Consider the following 20,530-nt stretch of genomic DNA (forward strand, 5'->3'; position numbering starts at 1 on the left):
CTGTGAGTGTTGTTTTCTTGTTTGAAGAAAAAAAAAAAGGTACTATGTTTTAGAAAATATGCCATGGCATGCTTTTCATAAGCTTCTAAGACAGTTGAGGGAACGTAAAACTCAGCCAGGCAAGTAAACACACATTTAATATGACGGTAATATGGATCAGGAAAAAGTTATTCTAAAGCACAGCATCAAGAGAGAAAGAATACTCTCCTCGTTTATTTAATGTTTTCCTTATGTTTCCTCTGAGCAGAGCTTATTCCTTGACAAGCTTTTCCTTCCCACTGCATCTAGCACTTCTTTTCTGGGATGGCTCAAGAACTGTAGCTTCTCATTTGGTTTGTTTATTTACTTACACTGCCATTCCTGTTCTCATCCAAACTAACATGTGTCTGCACAATGCACAGTGAAAAGTAAATGTCTTTCTTCATGTTTATTTCCCTGAAGTTGTTCATCAAATAGCTTTTTCACATCCCTTTTGCAATCTCATCCCATCCGGCTCAAGTATCCCAGATTAGAAAGGCTGTCTCTGGAGTCCTTTTCAAAGGGAGCCTCCCATAGTCTTTAAATCCCCCATGTTTTATGGTGCAGATATTCAGGATTTGAGGTATTAGCAAGAAGGAAAGCAAAGCAGATGGGGACAGGCACAGTAAAATAGAGTGGCTTCTTTTTTGGATAATCATTATTGGAATTGTCTTGTTATCTGTAACTTCGCTGGTTCAAAGTGATAAACTCAGTCATTTATAAGTAGACACTTTGCAACAGATAAAGGATGGAAAGTCTGTGTGTGGGGGTGTGCACACACATGTGCATACAATGTACAGAAAAAGTTCTACCACTGAAAGAGGGATGTTGTAAATGGGAGCTCTTAAAAAGAAGGCAAAAATCATAATCCTGTTGAGGTGTCATCTTCCTCATAATATCAAACCTAAAGGAGACTATGCCTACTTTCGAAATTCCAACACGAGCATGCAAAATAATAAATGATATTTAATTAAAGAATTAACATCAAAAGGCCATCTCTCAGATTCTAATTTTTAGCATCTTGAAAATAATGCATATTTCAAGTTCCCTTCCTTTTGCATCCAGGCCACTTTATCGCCTCTATCCTACTTTTGGGATGTATAACAAATATACCACTAAAGGACTCCAGAGACATACAATTCACAGCATTGCAAACTTACAAAATGCTCTAATTCATGTAAATTTACCTAATTTACATAAATTGAAGGCAATCCAGTAATAGGGATTACAAATGGAGGAAGGAGATAGAAGTGCAAGTGTCACTTGCTACTCTGCAAGGCTTTAGCAATTGACTTACACTGAATTATTTGAGCACAAAAATTAGCAAAGCACCTATGAATCAGGGACTCTTTCAAAGTGACCTCCCAGAAGTTTGCTGCTGTGTTAACCTGTAGTGCTAGTGTAGTCCTTCAGATATTCTGTTAAATATAATACATAGGGCAGGCTTATGTTAAAATCACTTGAGGCTTGTGACTTTCGACTAAATACTTCTTCAGTAATTACTGAAAAGTTCATCGGCTGGTGCTACCGGAGAAAAGACGTGGAAAGCTCACCATTTACTAACGACAGCCAGGGTGTGCCCCACTCAGGGGTGCCGGCCCTCTGTTCTCCCATCCCTGGGTGGGCCAGAGCATCTTACTCTCTGCTGCCTTGGGCCTCCACTTGGGCTGGGAAGATAAGAAAGTAGTGGACCTTCCCCTTCCTTCCCCAAGACTGGGAAAATCTTTCCAAATCTTATTCCCAGTCTTCCAGATGCGAGATTAGAATGTACAACAGATCCTCTCAAGAACACTGGGAGACCGAGGGTGGGAGAGAAAACTCCAAGGGGGGCGAGCTGACTATAGAGGGAATTGCCTGAGCGGGAAAGGAATCTTCCAAAGCCACAGAAAAGCCTTGGTTTGGAAGAAAGCCGTAGCACAGCTGCATTTCCAACGGGAAGGTCCTGAGCGCACACACTTCTGGGTCCTCCCCGCTCGGAGCAGGTAAACCTCAGAGTAGCTGACCGGCAGCACCCACAGAGTTTCCTCCCCACCACCCGCCTGGCGACCAACTGCAGCCGAAAAGAAAGAAAGAAAGGAAAGAAAGAAAGAAAGAAGAAGGAAGGAAGGAAGGAAGGAAGGAAGGAAGGAAGGAAGGAAAGAAAGAAAGAAAGACAAAGAAAGAGGAAGGAAGAAAGAAAGAAAAGAAAGAAAGAGAAAGAAAGAAAGAAAGAAAGAAAGAAAGAAAGAAAGAAAGAAAGAAAGAAAGAAAGAAAGAAAGAAAGAAAGAGAGAGAAAAAGAAAAAGGGAGAAAGGCAACAGAGGAGAAGGTCAGGAAAGCCGGGAACAAGTCAGCAGCCAGAAACTCTCCAGCGATCTGCCAAGGGGGAGAGGGTAGTTGCGCGCCGGCGCTGGGGATGGGGTGGGGGCGCTGGGGCACAAGGGCGCAGGGGCGCACGGCCACCGACAGCCGGGTGCGCCTAGCTTGAGGCCGCGGAGAGGAGCCGAACTGGGATGGGTGGGGGGTCTTCGGCCTCAACACTGCCTGCCAGCCCCAGTGCGCCCAAGTCTCCCCGCCAGAGCTGCCCTTCTGGAGGGGCTCTTCGCACGCACTGCTTTCCCCATTCTTCTGGCTGGAATTCTCCGGCCGTCACTGCAGTGTCCAGAGATGCTGCGCTGTAGACCCGGGACCCCTTAGGCGCCTCTTCCCGTCCCTCTGCCAAAGCGCAACGCCTGTACTTTTCCAGCTCCCTCTTTCCCTCTTGAAATTGAAAGTTATTGAGGTCGCTCAGGGTTGTTGCTCCAGCAGTTTCCTTCCCCGCCCCCGAGCTCCCCCCCGCCCCCCACAGCCATCCCCCCTCCTCTCCCCCTCCCTGCCCTCCTCTCCCTCCCCCCTCCCTGCCCTCCTCCTCCTCCTCCCCTATGTGGTGCTCCCGGGAGCCCAGCCCAACACTGGAGCGTCTCCTGCTCGCGCACGCCAGAAGCAGCTCGGGGTCTCTCCGCCGCCCCTTGGCCATGGCCGCTGTGCCGACGGCGCCCGCTCCCCTGCGCTCCAGGGGCCCCCGCCGCTGCAGCCGCAGCCGCCGCAGCTTCTGAGCCCAAGGGGCCGCCGCTGCAGCCGCCGCCGCCGCCGCTCGCCCGCCCGGATCCCGCCTGCGGCAGTTGCCGCACAACATGCTACCTGCGGCCGCCCCGGCGGCTCCTGGAACCCCGGTTCGCGGCGATGCCAGCCACCCCAGCGAAGCCGCCGCAGTTCAGTGCTTGGATAATTTGAAAGTACAATAGTTGGTTTCCCTGTCCACCCGCCCCACTTCGCTTGCCATCACAGCACGCCTATCGGATGTGAGAGGAGAAGTCCCGCTGCTCGGGCACTGTCTATATACGCCTAACACCTACATATATTTTAAAAACATTAAATATAATTAACAATCAAAAGAAAGAGGAGAAAGGAAGGGAAGCATTACTGGGTTACTATGCACTTGCGACTGATTTCTTGGCTTTTTATCATTTTGAACTTTATGGAATACATCGGCAGCCAAAACGCCTCCCGGGGAAGGCGCCAGCGAAGAAGTAAGTGCAGGGTTTTTTACGCGTTTGCTCCCTCCCGCCGCGTTCACCTGTCGGGTCGCTTTGCCTGTCCGGAGCCGGCTCCCAACTGCAGCGGTCCTCCCGCCCTGCGCCTCGCAGAGGAGATGCAGGTTCGGGCTTTGGGGGTATGGACGGCGTCTTTCACCCTTGCCTCTCGGCGCCCCTGCCTTCCGCAGCATCCTAGCCGGTGCGAGGGGCGGGCGGACGCGGCGCTAAGGTGGCTCCCGCCCCATGGTAACTTCAGGTTCGCGGGAAAGTTCGGTCCTGGGTTAGACTCGCACCCGGGATTTGTGCTTTCCTTTTGAGGATCGGACAGGGGCACCCAGCCGAAGGCACTTGGGACTCCCAGACGCAGGATGCCTCTGACCGCTGAGTAAATGACAAGGGAGGCGCGGCCGCGGTACCCGCTCACCTAGCGCAACCGCCTCGCGCGGGGAGACCTCGGCTGGGCCCTTAGGCTGGACTCCGGTAGCCGAACGCCCGCTACCCGGCCAGGAAGCCAGGGAGCGAGCGCCTGCGCGGCCGCATCCCCGACACGCACCAGCGGAGCCAAAGGGCGCGCGAGGCGATGGGGTTCGCGTGTCTGCGCGTTTGCAGAGCTGCCGGACGTCCCCCGCCCGAGGGTTGAAGACAGCAAAACCCCAGCTGTGGGGAGCCGGAGGTGCGGAGTTTCCAGGTTCTCTCTTGTCACATGTGAGCGTCTGTACCATCTCTGGCCCTTTCAAGTGTGTCCCCTGGGACACACACGTACAGAGAGTGGGGTCTCCCTAAAGATTCGCCTCCTCGCTGCCCTTAATGCTGTTATTTGGAGGGTTGGATTGTGATGGCTTCTTAAGACGGTGTCCTAGCTGGAATTAAGCGGACACCACCACGGCAGCCTCAACCTGGGTTGGTCTGTCTGAAAGGTAGAATCTTCCCAAGATGAAGGGACAGATGCGAAGGTGTCACCTCTCCTCGCTCCAGGGTAGCCTGGCGCCCTCGCTGCTCTAGTGTCTGTGTTCCCATGGGGAGTCCTTTCGCAGATCTCAGAGCAGGGGCGACCCTGGCTCTATGGTTGGGGGCGCTGGTGGAGAGAGGGAGGAGGAAACTTCTCCTGGAGCTCGCGAGGGGCAGGAAGCGATGCTGCTGCTCTGGGCTCTCGCACCTCCGCGGCGTGCAGCCCAGGCCCAGCGGCCCCACCTGGTTTCCCAAGGGGATCCCTCTCCCAGCGTCCCGCCCGGGAAGCCTTTCGGGGCAGACGTCGGGGCAGCGCGGAGGACACAACACCGGCTTGTGTGAGATGGAAATTTAGTAATCGCTTCTCGGCCGCTGTTTGTCCCTGCCCTGCCCCTGGGCATGAGGGTCCCCTGAAAGCTCCCTTTGTATTGCTGGCCTCGGCCAGACAAGGTTTGATTCACCTGAAAATTGCCTTTTAAAAAGGTGGCAGTGCCAGAGCGACAGGGGCCCTGGCCGGGCCTCACCGCCTTTAGGATCACCTAGCAGGGGGCAGGAGAGCCCAAACTAAATATGTCAGGGCATCCGATTTATTATTCTTGGCCTCCGAATGGTGTGTACTCTGGTAACTCCCCACCCACTCTTTCATTCCGGCCCGGACGCGGAAGGGGAGGCCTGGGGTTCAGCGGTGTCCACGCGCCTGGCGGTCCCCGCCTCCTCTCCTCCCAGGGTCTGGCCTGGGGAATTGAGTCTCAGGGTCAGTGGGCATAGGGAGCCCGGGCTGGAGCGCAACCCACTCTGCTTTCCATCCGCTCTTCCAGCCCGTGCCCATTGGGCGTCCCAGAGCACGCTCTCTCCTTTACCCCCACCGAGGACCCCCGGGCTGGGAGCCACACACTTGTCAAGGAGGGACAGGGTACTGAGTGTCAGAGGCGTCTCGCTTTGCAGTTTTGGGGCCCCTGATTCTGAAGGAAGACACAGGAAAGAAAGCTTGTAGTCCTTTTGTGCCCACCTCCCCCAGCGAGGACCACGGCGCAGGAAGCTTTCCCCGGGCGCTGCCTCAGGGAGCTGTGGGATGATGCACCTCTAGGTTGGGCCGAGAGGAGTCAAAAGGCAAACTGCTTTTCGACCTGCCTTAATCATCTCAAGGCCAAGTCAAAGGAGACCTCTGTTTGTGTTGAGGGGATGAAAGAAGGAATAGTGGAACTGGGTTGCAATTCCAATTTTTCTGTGGGAGTGGGACTGGGAGACAGCACCCACAGCGATGCTCTTGCTCCTTCGCACTTGAGTCTGCGTTTGCGGCTTGGTTTGCTGGTGCAATCCTGGTAGAGGGGCGACCCCTTGCGTCCTCGGAGGAGACAGACTAGACTCTTGGCAGGTGCAGTATGACTTAAGGAGGAAGGAGTGGAGGGTAGAGAGGTCCTCTTTAAATGCCCAGAAACTCAAGGTCAAACTGCATGTGCACAAACTCAGATATACCGTTTGTTTTGAAATCTCTGGGGGAAAAAAACGAACAAAAAGATTCAATTCACAGTTCCTGTTTCTCAAGTAAGGACTAGGAAAAGTTTTTAAAATGAAAACATGTGGTCAAACGTGTTTTCAAAAGAGGCTGGCTATCCTAATTGTTTCTTCAAGAGACAATTAAGTGAATATTTAAGGAGTCTTCTGGCCTGTAGTTATATAGTTTCAATTTCCTAAGCTTAAAATCATCAATAAAGATATGACAGGTAGAAAATTAGGTGTTAAAAACTTCTACAAAAAATTTAATGGTCTCTCTTGATTTAGTAGGAAACTTTTTTGTAAACAAGAACATTCATTTGAAGTGTTAAATATTGTCATGTCCAAAGAATCATGCATTATCCTCAGAAATAGCAAATAAAGCCATATCAGTATTCTCCTGTTTCCCTAAAACAACTGTAATTCCATTTGTCTCTACTTTGATATAAACTAGTGATCCTAGTTATTACAAACTAGTGTTTCTTCTCATAAAAGAAACAATGTTTTAAGACAAGACCCTTGTACTTTAAAATGTCTATTTAGTTATGGGTGAATAAATACACAATAAATTTTTATCTATTTGAATTGGTATACAGCTCTTAAAAATGACTCAACCTTTGAATTCCAGATTGTGTGCTAATAACATTAAGAAGCACTTTTTTTTTGCCATAATGATAGCCACAGAATCTTAGTGGGGCCTCACATTTTCACGTGGATTAGTTGCTTGGGCCCTGAAATAGCCACTGAAGTGAAGAAGCAGGTACTTATCTTCCCATCTTAGAAAGAAAAGGCCTGAGAACTAGAGGCTCAGTAACCTACATAATGCCATATATCTAGCAAGTGGAACTTGTCTCCTGCCATGAATCTCACAGTTATGTACACCTTTATTCTATATTCTGGTCATAGAGAAGATATCAGGTTTATTAAGTAATAAATTAGATGGTCTCAAGGCCATCATTTATTCAATAGGTTTAGAGAATAAACTGTTCTCCTTGACTGGAAATTTTTGAACTCATTATTTTATATAATGGTGATCAATGTCAAAGAATTAAATACCTAATAGTAAAGTTTTCTAAACGGAATATATCATTTGATTATCTAGGAGATACTATGGGATTATTCTGTGCCAGAAGGTTATTGTTAGAAACATCAGATGGCATTTAGCATCCTTTTTATTTGATGCCATCTAGTAGCTCGGTTTTAATTGTTCAGACTCTAGATAAATGCAAGTTTTGAAAAGCCATTATATGCATAATAATTTAAAAGCACTCATTGCACAATCTATAAAACTTCGCAAGTCTTTCATAAAGACGTCTGAAGAAAGAGAGAAAGAATAAAAAGGAAATAATTTTCATGGTAATAAAATAAAAACAGACTATTGGAATGTACTGGTCATTGCTCATGACATTGTTTCAGATGTTGAGCCAGTCTTTGAAATTATGACACACCCTTTGTGATTATGTTGTGAATCCTGGAAAATAACAAGTTAACTGATAAAATAGAAAAATCTTTAATTCTACTATACATTTTGTAATATTAATTTCAAATGAAAGTTTGGTTTGGATATTGACTACAATGTATTTTTCACACTTGTCTACGTTTCTCACCAGTCTGCCTTATTTTTGAGAGTAACAGTGTTTTAAAGATACAGACACGAATAGAATTTGCTGAAGAAAGTGTATTCTTTGATACGTCGTGTAACAGCTGTATAAATCAAGACAAATGCAAATTCATATGCGGTAGTGGCAACATCTAAATGCAAGGAAAAACATCTTTGTGAACTCAAATTTAATCATCATTACATTATCAGGGTTGTTTCTCAAAATATCCCATGGTGACACTATTTTAATTCCGTTTATTACTTTAATAGAAGGATTTTAACAAGAACGTTAGAAATGGTAATTTTAAAATACCTTCTTTTTAGCCCCAAGTTACTCAAGTAATGAGAATGTAAGAATGAGTATGAAACTGATTTAATGTTGTTATTTCAATATTCCTTTAAACATGAAATATGAAGAGTATTTGAACTTGCAAATAGATAAGCTTTACTAAGTCATTTCTCCATTAAATAATTCCCTGGCATTTAATATTGTACAAATTAGGTCCCCAGAAAGCAATGAATGGAAATTACAACGTGTAGTAAAATTTTATTTTCCAGTTATTATGGGGAAACCCTTGCTGCATTGCTCCAAAATGAATTTATTAGACATCTGATTATTTTAGATTATTTGAATCTGGACAGAGATCTCCAGATTGCTACTAAATGTCTAAAATATTTTCTAGTTCAATGGTTAATCTTTTTTTAGTTGTAATAATTCTTTTGAATCCTATGCAATGTTGGCAGAGTACTATGTAGAGTTTTCAGAGCCCTATGTAGAGTTAAGACCAAAATACACCTCTGCAATTATAAGAATGAGCTATGAAAAAATAAAACTATTCTAGATATACTGATTTGCCAAATTGTCTTTTCCCCTTTGTCTCCATCCCAATGTTTCATTTTGGACATATCTTGATCTCTCTCTTCCTACTTCTTCACTATTCACTCACATATCCCATCCCCACCCCAAAAAAATTATTTTCCAAGTAGTGAATTCTTGAAATGCCATCAGAGTGGATATTGTGTTTCATGAAATGTAAGAAAAAACTTTGGTTACCATTAGGAAAACATCATTCAGTTTTAAGAGCACAGTAAGGATCATGCAAGACAGTGTGTTGAAATTATGTTTGACTTGGTTAGGACTATTTCTTCTAACAGTGCATTATGTGCTGGCATTTTTTTTTTGAAAATAATAATTTGAAAAAATGTTGCATCATAAATTGCACAGTTTTTTTTTTTGCTTGGCCTTTGATTTTAAGGGCAAATGTAGATTGCTTTCTTAATTAGAGATTTTTCTCAGGGTTTCACATGATTGAATATCTTAAAATTTAATATCTGACAACCTAGTAAATTTGAAATGCTTTGCAACCATAACTAAACACATGAAGTACAGCATATACATATGTAAAAGATGCTAGCCATCTTTTCTGTTTCTTCAATTCTGCCCATCAGATCTTTCCATTCAGGAATATTACTGGCATTCTGATTAAAGTAGTCATCCAGCAATACTGAAAAGAATGGGGTGTTCCATTCTCAAAGACTGTGGGGGTGCTGAGAATGCTAAATATCTAAATGTCATTGATTGCTAAGAATCCCATTTTCTGCTCTAAAGTTTCAATAACATGGATCTTTTAAGCAAAATACCTGAATTCTTTTCACATTTGAACTGTTTGAATAATTTTTAAATTTTATTTTTAAAAAACAGGGTTGCAGGTGCCTCTTATCTGATAAGAGCATTTCTGCTTTATTTGTCACTTGGCAAGGGACCTAGGTGCTATCTGCTGTAGCTAAAATTTTTCTTGAATTTTTTTAGAGAAAATTCATTGGTACTAAAGAATATGATTGTCCAATTAAATAAATATTTAATGGCTTTTAACTGTCCTTATGTTTTATGCAAACATCTAATCTACTCTTCAAAACACCGCCTTATTAATGTTTCATCTGACCTTTAGAATTTAATTAATTGCAAGTATCATAAGTTTGTGGTAGAATCTGAGACCTGAGAAAGAAGGCTCCTTAGTGTATGTTGGGAGAAGGTAGACTCAGAAGTTAAAGACCTGGGTTCCAGATCCAGCATTGCTGCTAATGCCTGAATAACCCAAGAAAGTCCTTTTACTATACCAAGCTAAAGTTTTTCATCTGCAAAATGAGGAGGTTGATCAAAAACTTAGATCTAGTGATCCCTACGGTTTCCTCAACATTTAATCTTTTGGTATGAGAATATAAGTCACAACTAGGGAGTTAAATAATAACTTGTCTTATTCAACTAAATTTAACAGATAAAGATTGAGTACAAACAAACATAAACATTCATTGATTATAAGTAAATTTATCACATAAAGGTTAACGAGTAAGTGATCAATGTGGATAATGAATTAATTATGATATACCTCATAATTCACATTTTTTATTGTCTGAAAACCATAGTCACAGCAACAATCAGCATACTCAGTCTACCCCATCTTGTCCTTAGGCTCAGGGTTAGGGAGCTGGATCAGAATACTGACTCAAGGGTCACTTCAGAGCTTCCCTAGCATGGCAGGCTTTCAGAGGTGGCCTGTAATTATGAGGAAGAGATGATTTACAATAGTCCAGGTTTAAGAAAATAAGGCCCTAGGCTACAACAGTGAATGACTGCACAAAAGAGTATATACAGCAGATAATTTCTTTTAATCAAATCAGTAGTTCTTGGCAATTAATTGCATATGAAAGGGAAAGAGATGGAGGCCCATATTTGGCAATAAACTTTGGAGTATAAGGACTCAGGTCTGGGTGAATGGAAAAATGATGACGATCAACAAAAAGAAAAATAGGAGAAGCAGGTCTTGTTGGAAATCTGTTTCTCTTTTGAGGAGCCAGTAGGACGTTTAGGAACTCAAAACTCAAAACACCTGGGATTAGAGTATTAGGGCTGAACACAAGTACTTCAGAGTCACTCACATAAAAATGATGTTTATTATTATCAAAAGTGTGTGCTCTCCTACTGATACGGGGGTGTAAAAAATGTGTGCTGTGATGACATTGAGACTCACTCTTCTTGGTAATGTCAAAATAACATTAATTACATTAAGGTACCTTGTCTATTTTAAGTAGTTTAATATATCATTTTCAACTGTGGTTTTTTATGGTTTTTATAATACTCTCTGTGTTACATAAGAGGATGGTCACTGGTATCATAAGCTGTAGTTGTTGTTGCCAAATCTTGCAGCTGAAAATTGCACTTAGAAGTCTTCTTACCTGTGGAACTTTGCCACAGATCATAAGGAGACCTGAAAAACTATGATAATGAAAGGCAAGTTTACATAAGGTATAAAAATAAAATTTTGAACCATTGAATTGGGTGCAGTATCTGTTCATCACTGTAGCGTTCTACTTTTAAGTAGATTTCTCTACAAAGTATGCTCTCTTAATATAAGAGAATCTCTGGAAGGGATAAAACTTGAAAGAATCCAGTCCATCTACACAGTGTGGGATCACTTCTACAACATCCCCACTGAGTAACTGTCTAGCCTCAGTAACAGTCAGCCCCCTAAGCTCTCCCCCTTTTTCCTCCTATTTTTAGGGCTTCTGTATCCAAAGCAGTTTATTCTCCTAGTCCTCTTCTTTGCACTTGGCATGGGCATGGTATTAGATCTAGTTACCTTAAAACACCTTTCTAAAATGAACACACAGTAACGCAATGTGCTACATTCACTCCCAAAAATTGTCCTTAGAAAACTAGCTGGTAAGCATATTTATAATTATACCCCAATACAAAGCACATTCCTGACAGTAAGTGGTAAAGCAGCCCCCATTTTATAACCACATAATACAAACCACTACCACACAATATAAAATAACAGAATTTGTGAGCTGCTTATTTTAGAACACTGTTTTCTTAACATATGCTCGATAAGTTGGTAAGAAAAACAGCAGTCCTTTCTCATTGTTTTTTGTTCCCCTGTTCTACAAAGAGACTTCAAAGGTAAGAACACTGTCATCTCAACAAAGGCTGTCATATATGCAAAGCAAATATCAATCACATTTTGCCAACAAGAAATAATATGCCAAAGTATGTGTAAGTGCTACATGGCAAACAACAGCTTTTTAGCTCTCAGAGCCACTGTTATATTTATGTACATCTTATCTAAATATGCATGTATACTTACTAAAGTGAGTATTATGATAATAGTTATTACTCAATAGCTCCCATGTTATAATCACCAGTAAGTGCCAGACCCTTTGCTTGATGCTTTTGCAAAAATTATCTCATTTGATCTTCATACCCACCTGTAAGGAATGTGCCAATAGTCCCACTTTCATTGATCACTCAAGGAATTGAGGTGGACCTCAGATTCCAGTCTAGGCTAGACTCCAAAGCCAAGGTCCTTCTTTGATTCTTCACTCCACCTTAACATTAGGGTTGGTACTTGAGGCAATCATGGTGCATTTTCTAAATTCCACCCACTCTTTCTTTCTCTTACTCTCTCTTCTTTCCTCCTTCTTTCTTTATCCTCATTTAACAAACCATAAGCCTTTTTTCAAACATTTACTATAAAGGTTGCTTCTGGTATTCAAGTACCCTCCTCTACATCGCTTTCTTTTCCTTACCCTTTGTCCTCTCTTTCCTTAAACCTGTCTTATTGATGAGTTTTAAACATAAAAGTTTGCTGATTTTTTCATTAAAAGCAATAGGATTGCACAGTTTATATGAAAGACTCTGTGATTGTTATTTCCATCTATGGTGCGCGTAACCAAGAAAAGATTAATGTAGGCATGAGAATGTTAGAAAAGTCTGTAATTTTGCAGTTAAAAATCAGAATCCTTCTATGTAATTTACAACCACAATAGATATTTTACTGGCTATTGTTATCCAGAAAAAGTTATCTTTATGGCACTTCATAAAGTCTGTTATTTATATTACTTTTACCATGAGCATTAACAGTAACCTCCACTCTGAATTCTTGCTTTATGGGTCTTGGTACAATAATTTTCCGCCCTGAGGTCACATTAGAATTTCCTGGGGATCTTTAAAAAGATACTAATGCCCAGACTCCACCCTTGAACAAATAAAACTATCTTCTCCACCCTTGAACAAATAACACAATCTTTGGGGATGGTACCTGAATATCTACATTGTTTAAAGTAGTTCTGGTGATTCTAATGTGCAGCCAAGACTGAGAAATATTGTAAGAGCCTTAATTCAATAATGACTATTGCAGCTAAGCAACCACTGAAAACCATGCCAGTTTTGGGAAGGCTAGACAGACAAAATAGACGTATGTGGAGTGTGATTACAAATGAGATAGATGTCATTTGAACAAATAGTAGTGTAAAATATAAAGTATTCTGATACTGTTGATCAATACTCTATTGATCTGTATTGTTGAACAAGAGTATTATTAAACTTGTAGCACTGATTGGTACAGACAAGACTGTCTGATAGAGAATTATCTCAGTCAAAAGAACAGAGCAAAATGCACACAATAGGACACACTAGTGAATGTAACAGATGCTGGCTTCATAGAATAAGAACACAGCTACTAGGAGAGGTACAAACCATGGGGGAGTGTCTTTGCTGCTGAGCTATATTGTGTGGAGGGAGTATAAATAGGACAGTTTTAGAAGATGGGTATCAGCCATACTCAAACTTTTTTTCAAAGCTACTTAATAATAAACAACTGTTTTTATGTCTTACCAGATGACTGGTAATGTGCCCTAGAGTCCTCCTTGTTTTTAGGGAAAACTTAATGGTTAGGAAATACCTAACGAGAAATAAATGTCCTTTTCTTTTATAGTTTCTACAGTTCCTGACTCACTTTAGATTGACTACTGGTGATCACTAAAACGACTATAAATAGCACAGTTTTAACTCTACCTTAATGGGTTCTGTTTTGCAGTAGGTCATTTATTCATGAACTTATCATTTCTACTTCACTCCTAATGTGCTCTTCTTTGGGTAGTTATCTCCATTAAATCGTGTTTATGAGTCTTTTTTAGTCCATGAAGGATTTTCAAATCTTGCCATAAACTGGGGAAAGTTCCATGTAAAAGTGGGGTGGAAGTCTGGGCTTCCTGACAGACTTAATCCTGCTAGTTAAGGGGGCTCTTTGGGATAATATGGGTTCCAATGAGTCACTAGGCCAAATCCCAATAACCGCAGTTGCCAAAAGTAATTAGACTGAAGAAAGCCAGGCTCCTTGGGAGGAAGGTCATCACAGCGAGCTTTAGCCATTGCTCCAACGTCAGACCTAGTTAATTGTCCCTAAGGATGGAGAGCAATCATGAGTTCCAGAGAGTAGGAAATATACCAGAAAACAATGCTTTTTCACTAATTTTTTTCCCAATAGGTTATTTACCATAAGCGTGCAAGAGATGGAAATACGTCATCAGTATGTGCAGTTTATGTCACTATCCTCATAAACCACCTTGTTTGCCTGTGTGAATGTACGTGCCCACATAGAGAACTCCCAATTCATCACTACAAGTTCTCCTCCTCCCTTCCTGAGTAGATAAAGAACTCAAAGAATCTAGTCTAAGTTCATAAAAGAAGGTGTCTGACTAGCATGGAAATGGAAGGGAAGGAATTCTTGTAAACATCCTTAGGTCAACTTAAATATCATATTATTGAAGTAACATTTGGCAACAAGAAAATGGTAGTACATTATATCAGACAAGCAATTCTAAAATATCTGGAGCTAGAACAAACTTATGATTTCTTGTACTGAAAATAATTCACTTTAGAAACATGGTGTTGTAAGTATCTAAGTAGAAATTATCAACAAGTAAGTGGTGCTATAATTTTAAGCTTTCAATATTTGAGAAATTAAAAGATTGTTAAACCTTTCCCTAGGAAAATACTCAAGTAGCACAAAAGTATTCTTGCTCAATACCCAAAGTAAAAATTTGCCTTTGAAACCATTGGCTTGGATACCCAGAAAAGATACTCCATCACTTTATGTAACGGATCTTTAATTGAACAAAGACACTGTCCTTACAGTGGTAAGTTTCAAATTCCTTTATGGTTCAGAATGACTTCAGTATATTTCAGCACTCTTTTGAGCTTAGACTACCAGTTCTCAGTTTAAATATGTGGATGAGTGATATTGCTTATTTTAAATCTACAAACAGGAAGTCAAACTCTTTTTCTGGCCAGCTTTTTCTGGCAACTGGAAATCTCCAGGTATCATCTGGCAGACAAATAAACCCTGTCCTTGTGCACTGCACACATCTAATAGTTATCATGACCTGATTGTCACTATGGCCAATATTGTGGAACAATGTATTTAATTTTCTTTCATCTTAAATTGACAATAAGATAACCAAAGAATAGAAGAATCCTAATTTTGGAAAAACTTAGCAAAATTTTTTGCTGTGTTTACTTGTACCACTGGTCATGTAGTTTCTGCCATAAAATACAAACGGTATGGACAAATGCTGCTTGGCCACAAACTGAGGACATACTGAGAAGCTACATATTTGTTTCTTATAGAATTTAGTTTTGTTTTTCAATTTATGATGAGTTTTTTTTTATATGGAGTCCAAAAGGACCCTCGTTGCTTGTTTGGTAACAAGGAACAAGGTCCAAACATGGTATCCTTAGCCCCTCTGACTTTAATTCACACACTCTCATTTCATGCCATCCTCAAGATGGTAACTCTCAGTCCCCTCCACAAAGACTGAATATAATTTTAAAAGGACAGTCTTTCTTTCATATAGCACATTTCTAAGACATCCAGCCAACTTTCCAGTTCTATCCAGAGCTTAATGTAGATCCAAGCTTTTAACACAGATCAGTGGGATTTCCTTGGAGGCCAGTTAGGCTTGCAGTATCACATAGATGCATACTTGGCCCTAGTACAATCAATAACATTTGCTATCATATCCAGCCTGTGTTTTTAAACCTGTGGGCATTATGTGACCATACCCCAAAGTTTAGTTTCTAACAGAATAAGGGAGAGTTGCAGCAAGAGAACCTCCAAACAATTTCATGCTATAACTACCATCTTCAGTATCCATGTGGACATCCCATTGACATTCCAGGAATTCATTTTAAACTGTTTGCCTCTGAACTGAGTATGTGCTCTAAGGAGAGCCTACGATCCAAGAAACCTTCATGTAATAGTTTTTACCCAAACTATTTAATTCACAAGCTGTTGGGCTGAAGTGCTCTAGGTCATCAGATAAGAACACATTCAAATGAAAATTGCCAAGATTTTCCAGTGCAGGATATTTTCGTCACCCTTCCTAGCTCAAACTCACTTCCTCATCCACTCCACAAATTCTAAACCACTACTAAGATGAGTTGAACAGTCTTAATTTTATAATCTTCCAAAGAAAAAATAAAGACACAGACAGCCGAGTTAATTTATAAAACAGTGCTGCATTTATCTTGGCAGATGTCAGTTTTCCCCCCACTAGCTCTTTCATGCTGACTACTTAGCAACTCATGGAGGATCAAGTCATTCCTATGTATCAAGCACCTTGAGAACCATTGCACTGAATAAGTTTGGTGTGTCTCTTCACACACTTCTTGTACAAATTTCTTTCCTCATAGACAATTTATTTACTGGGTCTCTGAAACCTAAATAATCCCTTTACTTTAAACCTGAAGCAAATGGAGAGTCATTTTTACAAGAGCAATAAACTAAAGTGGCTGTTCAAACACTTTACTTGAATTGCTCTGGGCACTGAAATACCTTTTTGTTAATACAAACCCTTCATATTCTAGCAGGAAAACCCCTGAAATTCTAGGGTTGCTTAAAATTGTGTAACCAGGAATCTCCCCTCTCCCCCAACACCAGCCCCCTGATCCTGGGAGTATGCCAGTAATTTTGCAGGATTCATTCTGACAAACTGTTCTGGTGTAAATGTTTATAGAAATCTTTTCCACTAGAGATTAAACAAAGTTTAAGTAACTGTGCCTAAATGATAGATCTTAGTAGTGTTTGCAACAGCAGGTCTGATGCTATCTGATGCAAAGATTCTGATACTGTATACTAGAGAAAAGGCTAAAGGAAAAAGAATCAAGAGAGGAGTTAGTATGAACTGTATGTAATTTGAACTGCAAAATATTATTCTAAGTTATCTCTATACAGATTAGTTTTTTTAATGTGCACAGGATATAAGGGAAATGAGTTCATTTAAATTGAAAAATAGTAAAAACTGACTACTCGTGCTTTAATGGCTTAAAAAAAGGTGGGGGCAATTACAAATCTTATCACATGCCAGTTCAAATGCAATTCTTGGCTAGTTCTCCAAATTCTCACCAAAATGAAGTAACATATCTGAGATCTGATCTGATGTAAGCTCTGGTATCCATATTATTATGATTCAAAAACTACTAAAAGGGATAACTGCTGAGCTCTAAGCCTTATATTGAATATTATTTATTAAAACAGGGTAGTACCCTAGGCCTCAAGAGGTGAAAGCAAACCAGTGTTCCCTTTCTGTGCTTTCCTGTTTGCACAGCATTTTCAAGTGTTTATTATATACTAAGGGATTACACAGCTAAGCAATTAAAAACCTCAGAAACTTCATTGACTGAATTTCAAATTAATGCTACAGCATTAATGATTCCTGTGATACTAGACTAGGAAAGGCATATGTCATTTAGACTAGTTAATGTTTCCTCTTTCCCTTGATGATTTAAGGCCTACCTTAAAATTTAAGAACCCATGAATCTTAATTTCATTTCTTTGTTGGTAAGTCACAATATGAGATTTCTTCTTAATATCTGGAGATTACTTCCTCATTACAGACATAGGATTTTTTTAATTTTAAGATTTCTTTGTGAAAAACCATTTTAGAAAAAGTTCAATGTAAATAATGTTAAAACATATGCAATGGAACTTTACTCCTTTTTGTTTTGCTTCAAACGTAATGGCAGTCATTCACTGCTAAGTTTCCAGTTGAATCCTATTTAAATACTGTATTTGCTATAAATGAGCAAGGAAAATAATCAAAAGGGATCCATGGAATATGAAATAGAGACTTTATAAACTTAATTGGAAGATAATCCTGTCTTTCTAATTACCTTCTTAGAATCTAGATTTTCTTGATTTGACTGTAGTGAGAAAAATCCCACCTTAGGAGGCAGGGACATTGATTTTAATTTATATATTGCTATATAATTTAGACAAATCATTTAGTCTGTGATTTGATTGTATCCACTATACAAATGAATTCATAATCTTTCATTTATCTGAAAGCAGAAAACTGATCTTAAAGTCCACTCCTCCAACAGTAAGATCAATGAGCTTTCCCTTTTCATTTTTGTAGCATGCTCTAACCTTAGATAGTTGCCCGTCCAAATGTCTAGAATGCTGAGTTATGGCTAGAATTCAAAAGTTTAAGTTTCTTTTTGCACATTCATGGAAGTTTTAGACCATATTTTTAAAAAGCTAACAAGGCAAAAAAGGAATCTTGTTAGGGGAAAAATATGGAAAAATCAAAATTGAACTCAGCACTAACTACAATATCATACATTCATTTATTTATTTAATAGCTCTTTATTAAACAATTACTATGTGCCAAAATTACGAAAATGAGCAAAACACACCTGGAACTTACCCTTGTAGTATTTCACAGTGGTTAAGGAAAGAAAATATTAATTCAGATTTTAAAAAACAATATTTGGCTAAAGATAAATTAGAGCACTTTAGATATCATTTCTAAGCCGAATAGTACCTCTTTTTTGATTTGTTTAAATAGCGTTGGAAATTAATTAGTTTACAATGAACCTAATAGCTACCCAGATTTTTCTCTGGGAAACAGAGACAAAGCTGAACAAGACCACATATGGGGATGAAGCAGGAAGGTGGAAGGAAGATTAACTGAAAACATGGGAATTTATTAGGCCTTCTGGTATTTTCTTGTCTTAAAATTTATGAGCAATGAATAGGACTCATTACTTAGCATGCCGTTTGTGACAATCATAGGAAGTATGCTATTGTCCACTTTAAATGTAGTTAGCATTTTTAAGTAAGCCTTGTAATGGTGTGGCATAGCTTGGCTGAGTGAATTTCCATTTTTGGCACATTGACTAATTTCTATAGCTGAACTTTCACAATAGTTCATTAACTGGAATTACTTTTCCCAAACACTAACATATTGTATGTTTTAAAATAGTGCATTTTTTGTCCATCTCTCTGAAGCATTTTCAAACCTTTTATGGTAACCCCATGACCACCACATAAAACATACAAGTCAATCTACTTAAAGCACCAGTTTGGCAAATATATGTCAACAAGTTATTTGGATTCTTATGTAACTTTGTTGATGACCTTTCCTAACCTCAGTTGATAGCTTTAAAGATATCAGTTGCCAAAATTCAGAGTCTTGAAAATAACTTGATTCAATTATTTTCGGTATGTGATCACTGACTTGTAAAGGTCTTTAAGTAAAGAAAGGCTACTACCAGCTACTTCCACATGTTTATCTCATGGAACCTTCACAACAATTTCATGAGATATTATTCCATTTTATAAATAAAGAAATTGAGGCTGAAAACAACTAAGGAACAGATCAAAATGACATAGTCAGAGATGGTAAACCTAAACTGTACATCTAGATCTTCTGACCTAATGAATAGCTTTCCCAATACACCCTGCTTTTCATTAAGCCTGTAAAAGAGAATGCCAGAGGAGGTTTAAATGAGAAATAGTTATCTTTGCAACTGAGATGGAACTACTAATACCTCATTAGACAAAACGTGAGGGTGTGAGAAAATAAACCAGACTACTTGACAGAATGGTTACTTAGGAAGTGCCAGGCCAAGTTTTTTAACTGTTTTTAAATCAGAGGCCCAATAAGATTGCAACTATTGGCCAGGTGCGGTGGCTCACGCCTGTAATCCCAGCACTTTGGGAGGCCAAGGCGGGCAGATTACGAGGTCAAGAGATCGAGACCATCATAGCCAACATGGTGAAACCCCGTCTCTACTAAAAATATAAAAAATTAGCCGGGTGTGGTGGCACATGCCTGTAGTCCCAGCTACTTGGGAGGCTGAGGCAGGAGAATTGCTTGAACCCAGGAGGCAGAGGTTGCAGTGAGCCGAAATCGTGCCACTGCACTCCAGCCTGGCAACAGAGTGAGAATCCATAAAAAAAAAAAAAAAAAAAAAAAAATTTACAACTATTGTTCTTAAAAGATCCCTCTGATTGGTAATGGTAGCAGTAGTAGTAGTAGGAAATGGGAAGATGTGAACTCTATTAATAAGGGAGGTAGAATCTGTAAGAAAGGTGATTGGAGAAGAGGATAAGGAGGGCTCCTAGATTTCTGATTGTAGCATCTTCATGGCGCCATTTGCTGCAACAGAAAAGCACATGTCGATTAGATGTAGTGGCTCTCACAGGTAATCCCAGCATTTTGGGAGGCCAAGGAGGGCAAATCTCCTGAGTCCAGGAGTTCAAGACCAGCCTGGGCAACATGGCTAAACCCTATCTGTACAAAAAATACCAAAATTAGCCGGGCATGATGGCTCAAACCTGTAGTCTCAGCTACTGTGGGGGCTGAAGTGAGAGTATCACTTGAACCCTGGATTTTGAGGCTGGAGTAAGCAGTAATCATGCCTCTGCACTCCAGCCTAAGCAACAAACTGAGACCCTGCCTCAAAAAAAAAAAAAAAAAGGCACATGTCAATTAAGTGTACAATAGTTTTAATAGCTAGGAAGATTTGTGTGAATTATATATGCAGCATAAACCACTCATGTTACTGAAGAAGATAAAGAGAGACCAGAGAAGTAAGTGACTTAATTGAAGTCACTTTGCAGTGGAGCCAAGAGTAGAAATAACTCCTGTAGCCATTCTGTAATACCAAATGCTACACAGCAGATGGTTCCAAGGGTTGACCTTCCAGAGAAGGGCTCTATGGATCCTCTGCCAATCTGATTTCTTATGTGTTTAATAATGGCCTTCTTGGAGAGAATTATCTGTTCAT

General features: G+C 40.5%; 1 protein-coding gene and 1 long non-coding RNA gene across 9 annotated transcripts in view; one reads left to right on the top strand and one right to left on the bottom strand.

Moving 5' to 3' along the window:
• The window catches only part of LOC105377989 (uncharacterized), a 347,578-nt gene that overhangs the window by 250,457 nt on the left and 76,591 nt on the right, over window positions 1-20,530 (bottom strand). Inside the window, exon 4 of one of the 7 annotated variants that reach the window (XR_002956387.2) lies at window positions 3,178-6,013. The exons of the other annotated variants lie outside the window; for them this stretch is intronic. This is a non-coding gene — a long non-coding RNA (uncharacterized LOC105377989). The remainder of the gene's footprint in view (window positions 1-3,177; window positions 6,014-20,530) is intronic. 7 annotated transcript variants of the gene reach the window in all.
• RSPO3 (R-spondin 3) overlaps window positions 2,948-20,530 on the top strand; it is an 80,811-nt gene continuing 63,228 nt past the window's right edge. For both annotated transcript variants that reach the window (NM_032784.5, XM_017011378.1), the window contains exon 1: window positions 2,948-3,566. In NM_032784.5, coding sequence (NP_116173.2) covers window positions 3,470-3,566 — 97 coding nt within the window. In that variant the 5' untranslated portion in view covers window positions 2,948-3,469. The remainder of the gene's footprint in view (window positions 3,567-20,530) is intronic.

The sequence above is a fragment of the Homo sapiens genome, chromosome 6 (assembly GCF_000001405.40).
Source record: "Homo sapiens chromosome 6, GRCh38.p14 Primary Assembly".
NCBI lineage: Eukaryota > Metazoa > Chordata > Mammalia > Primates > Hominidae > Homo > Homo sapiens.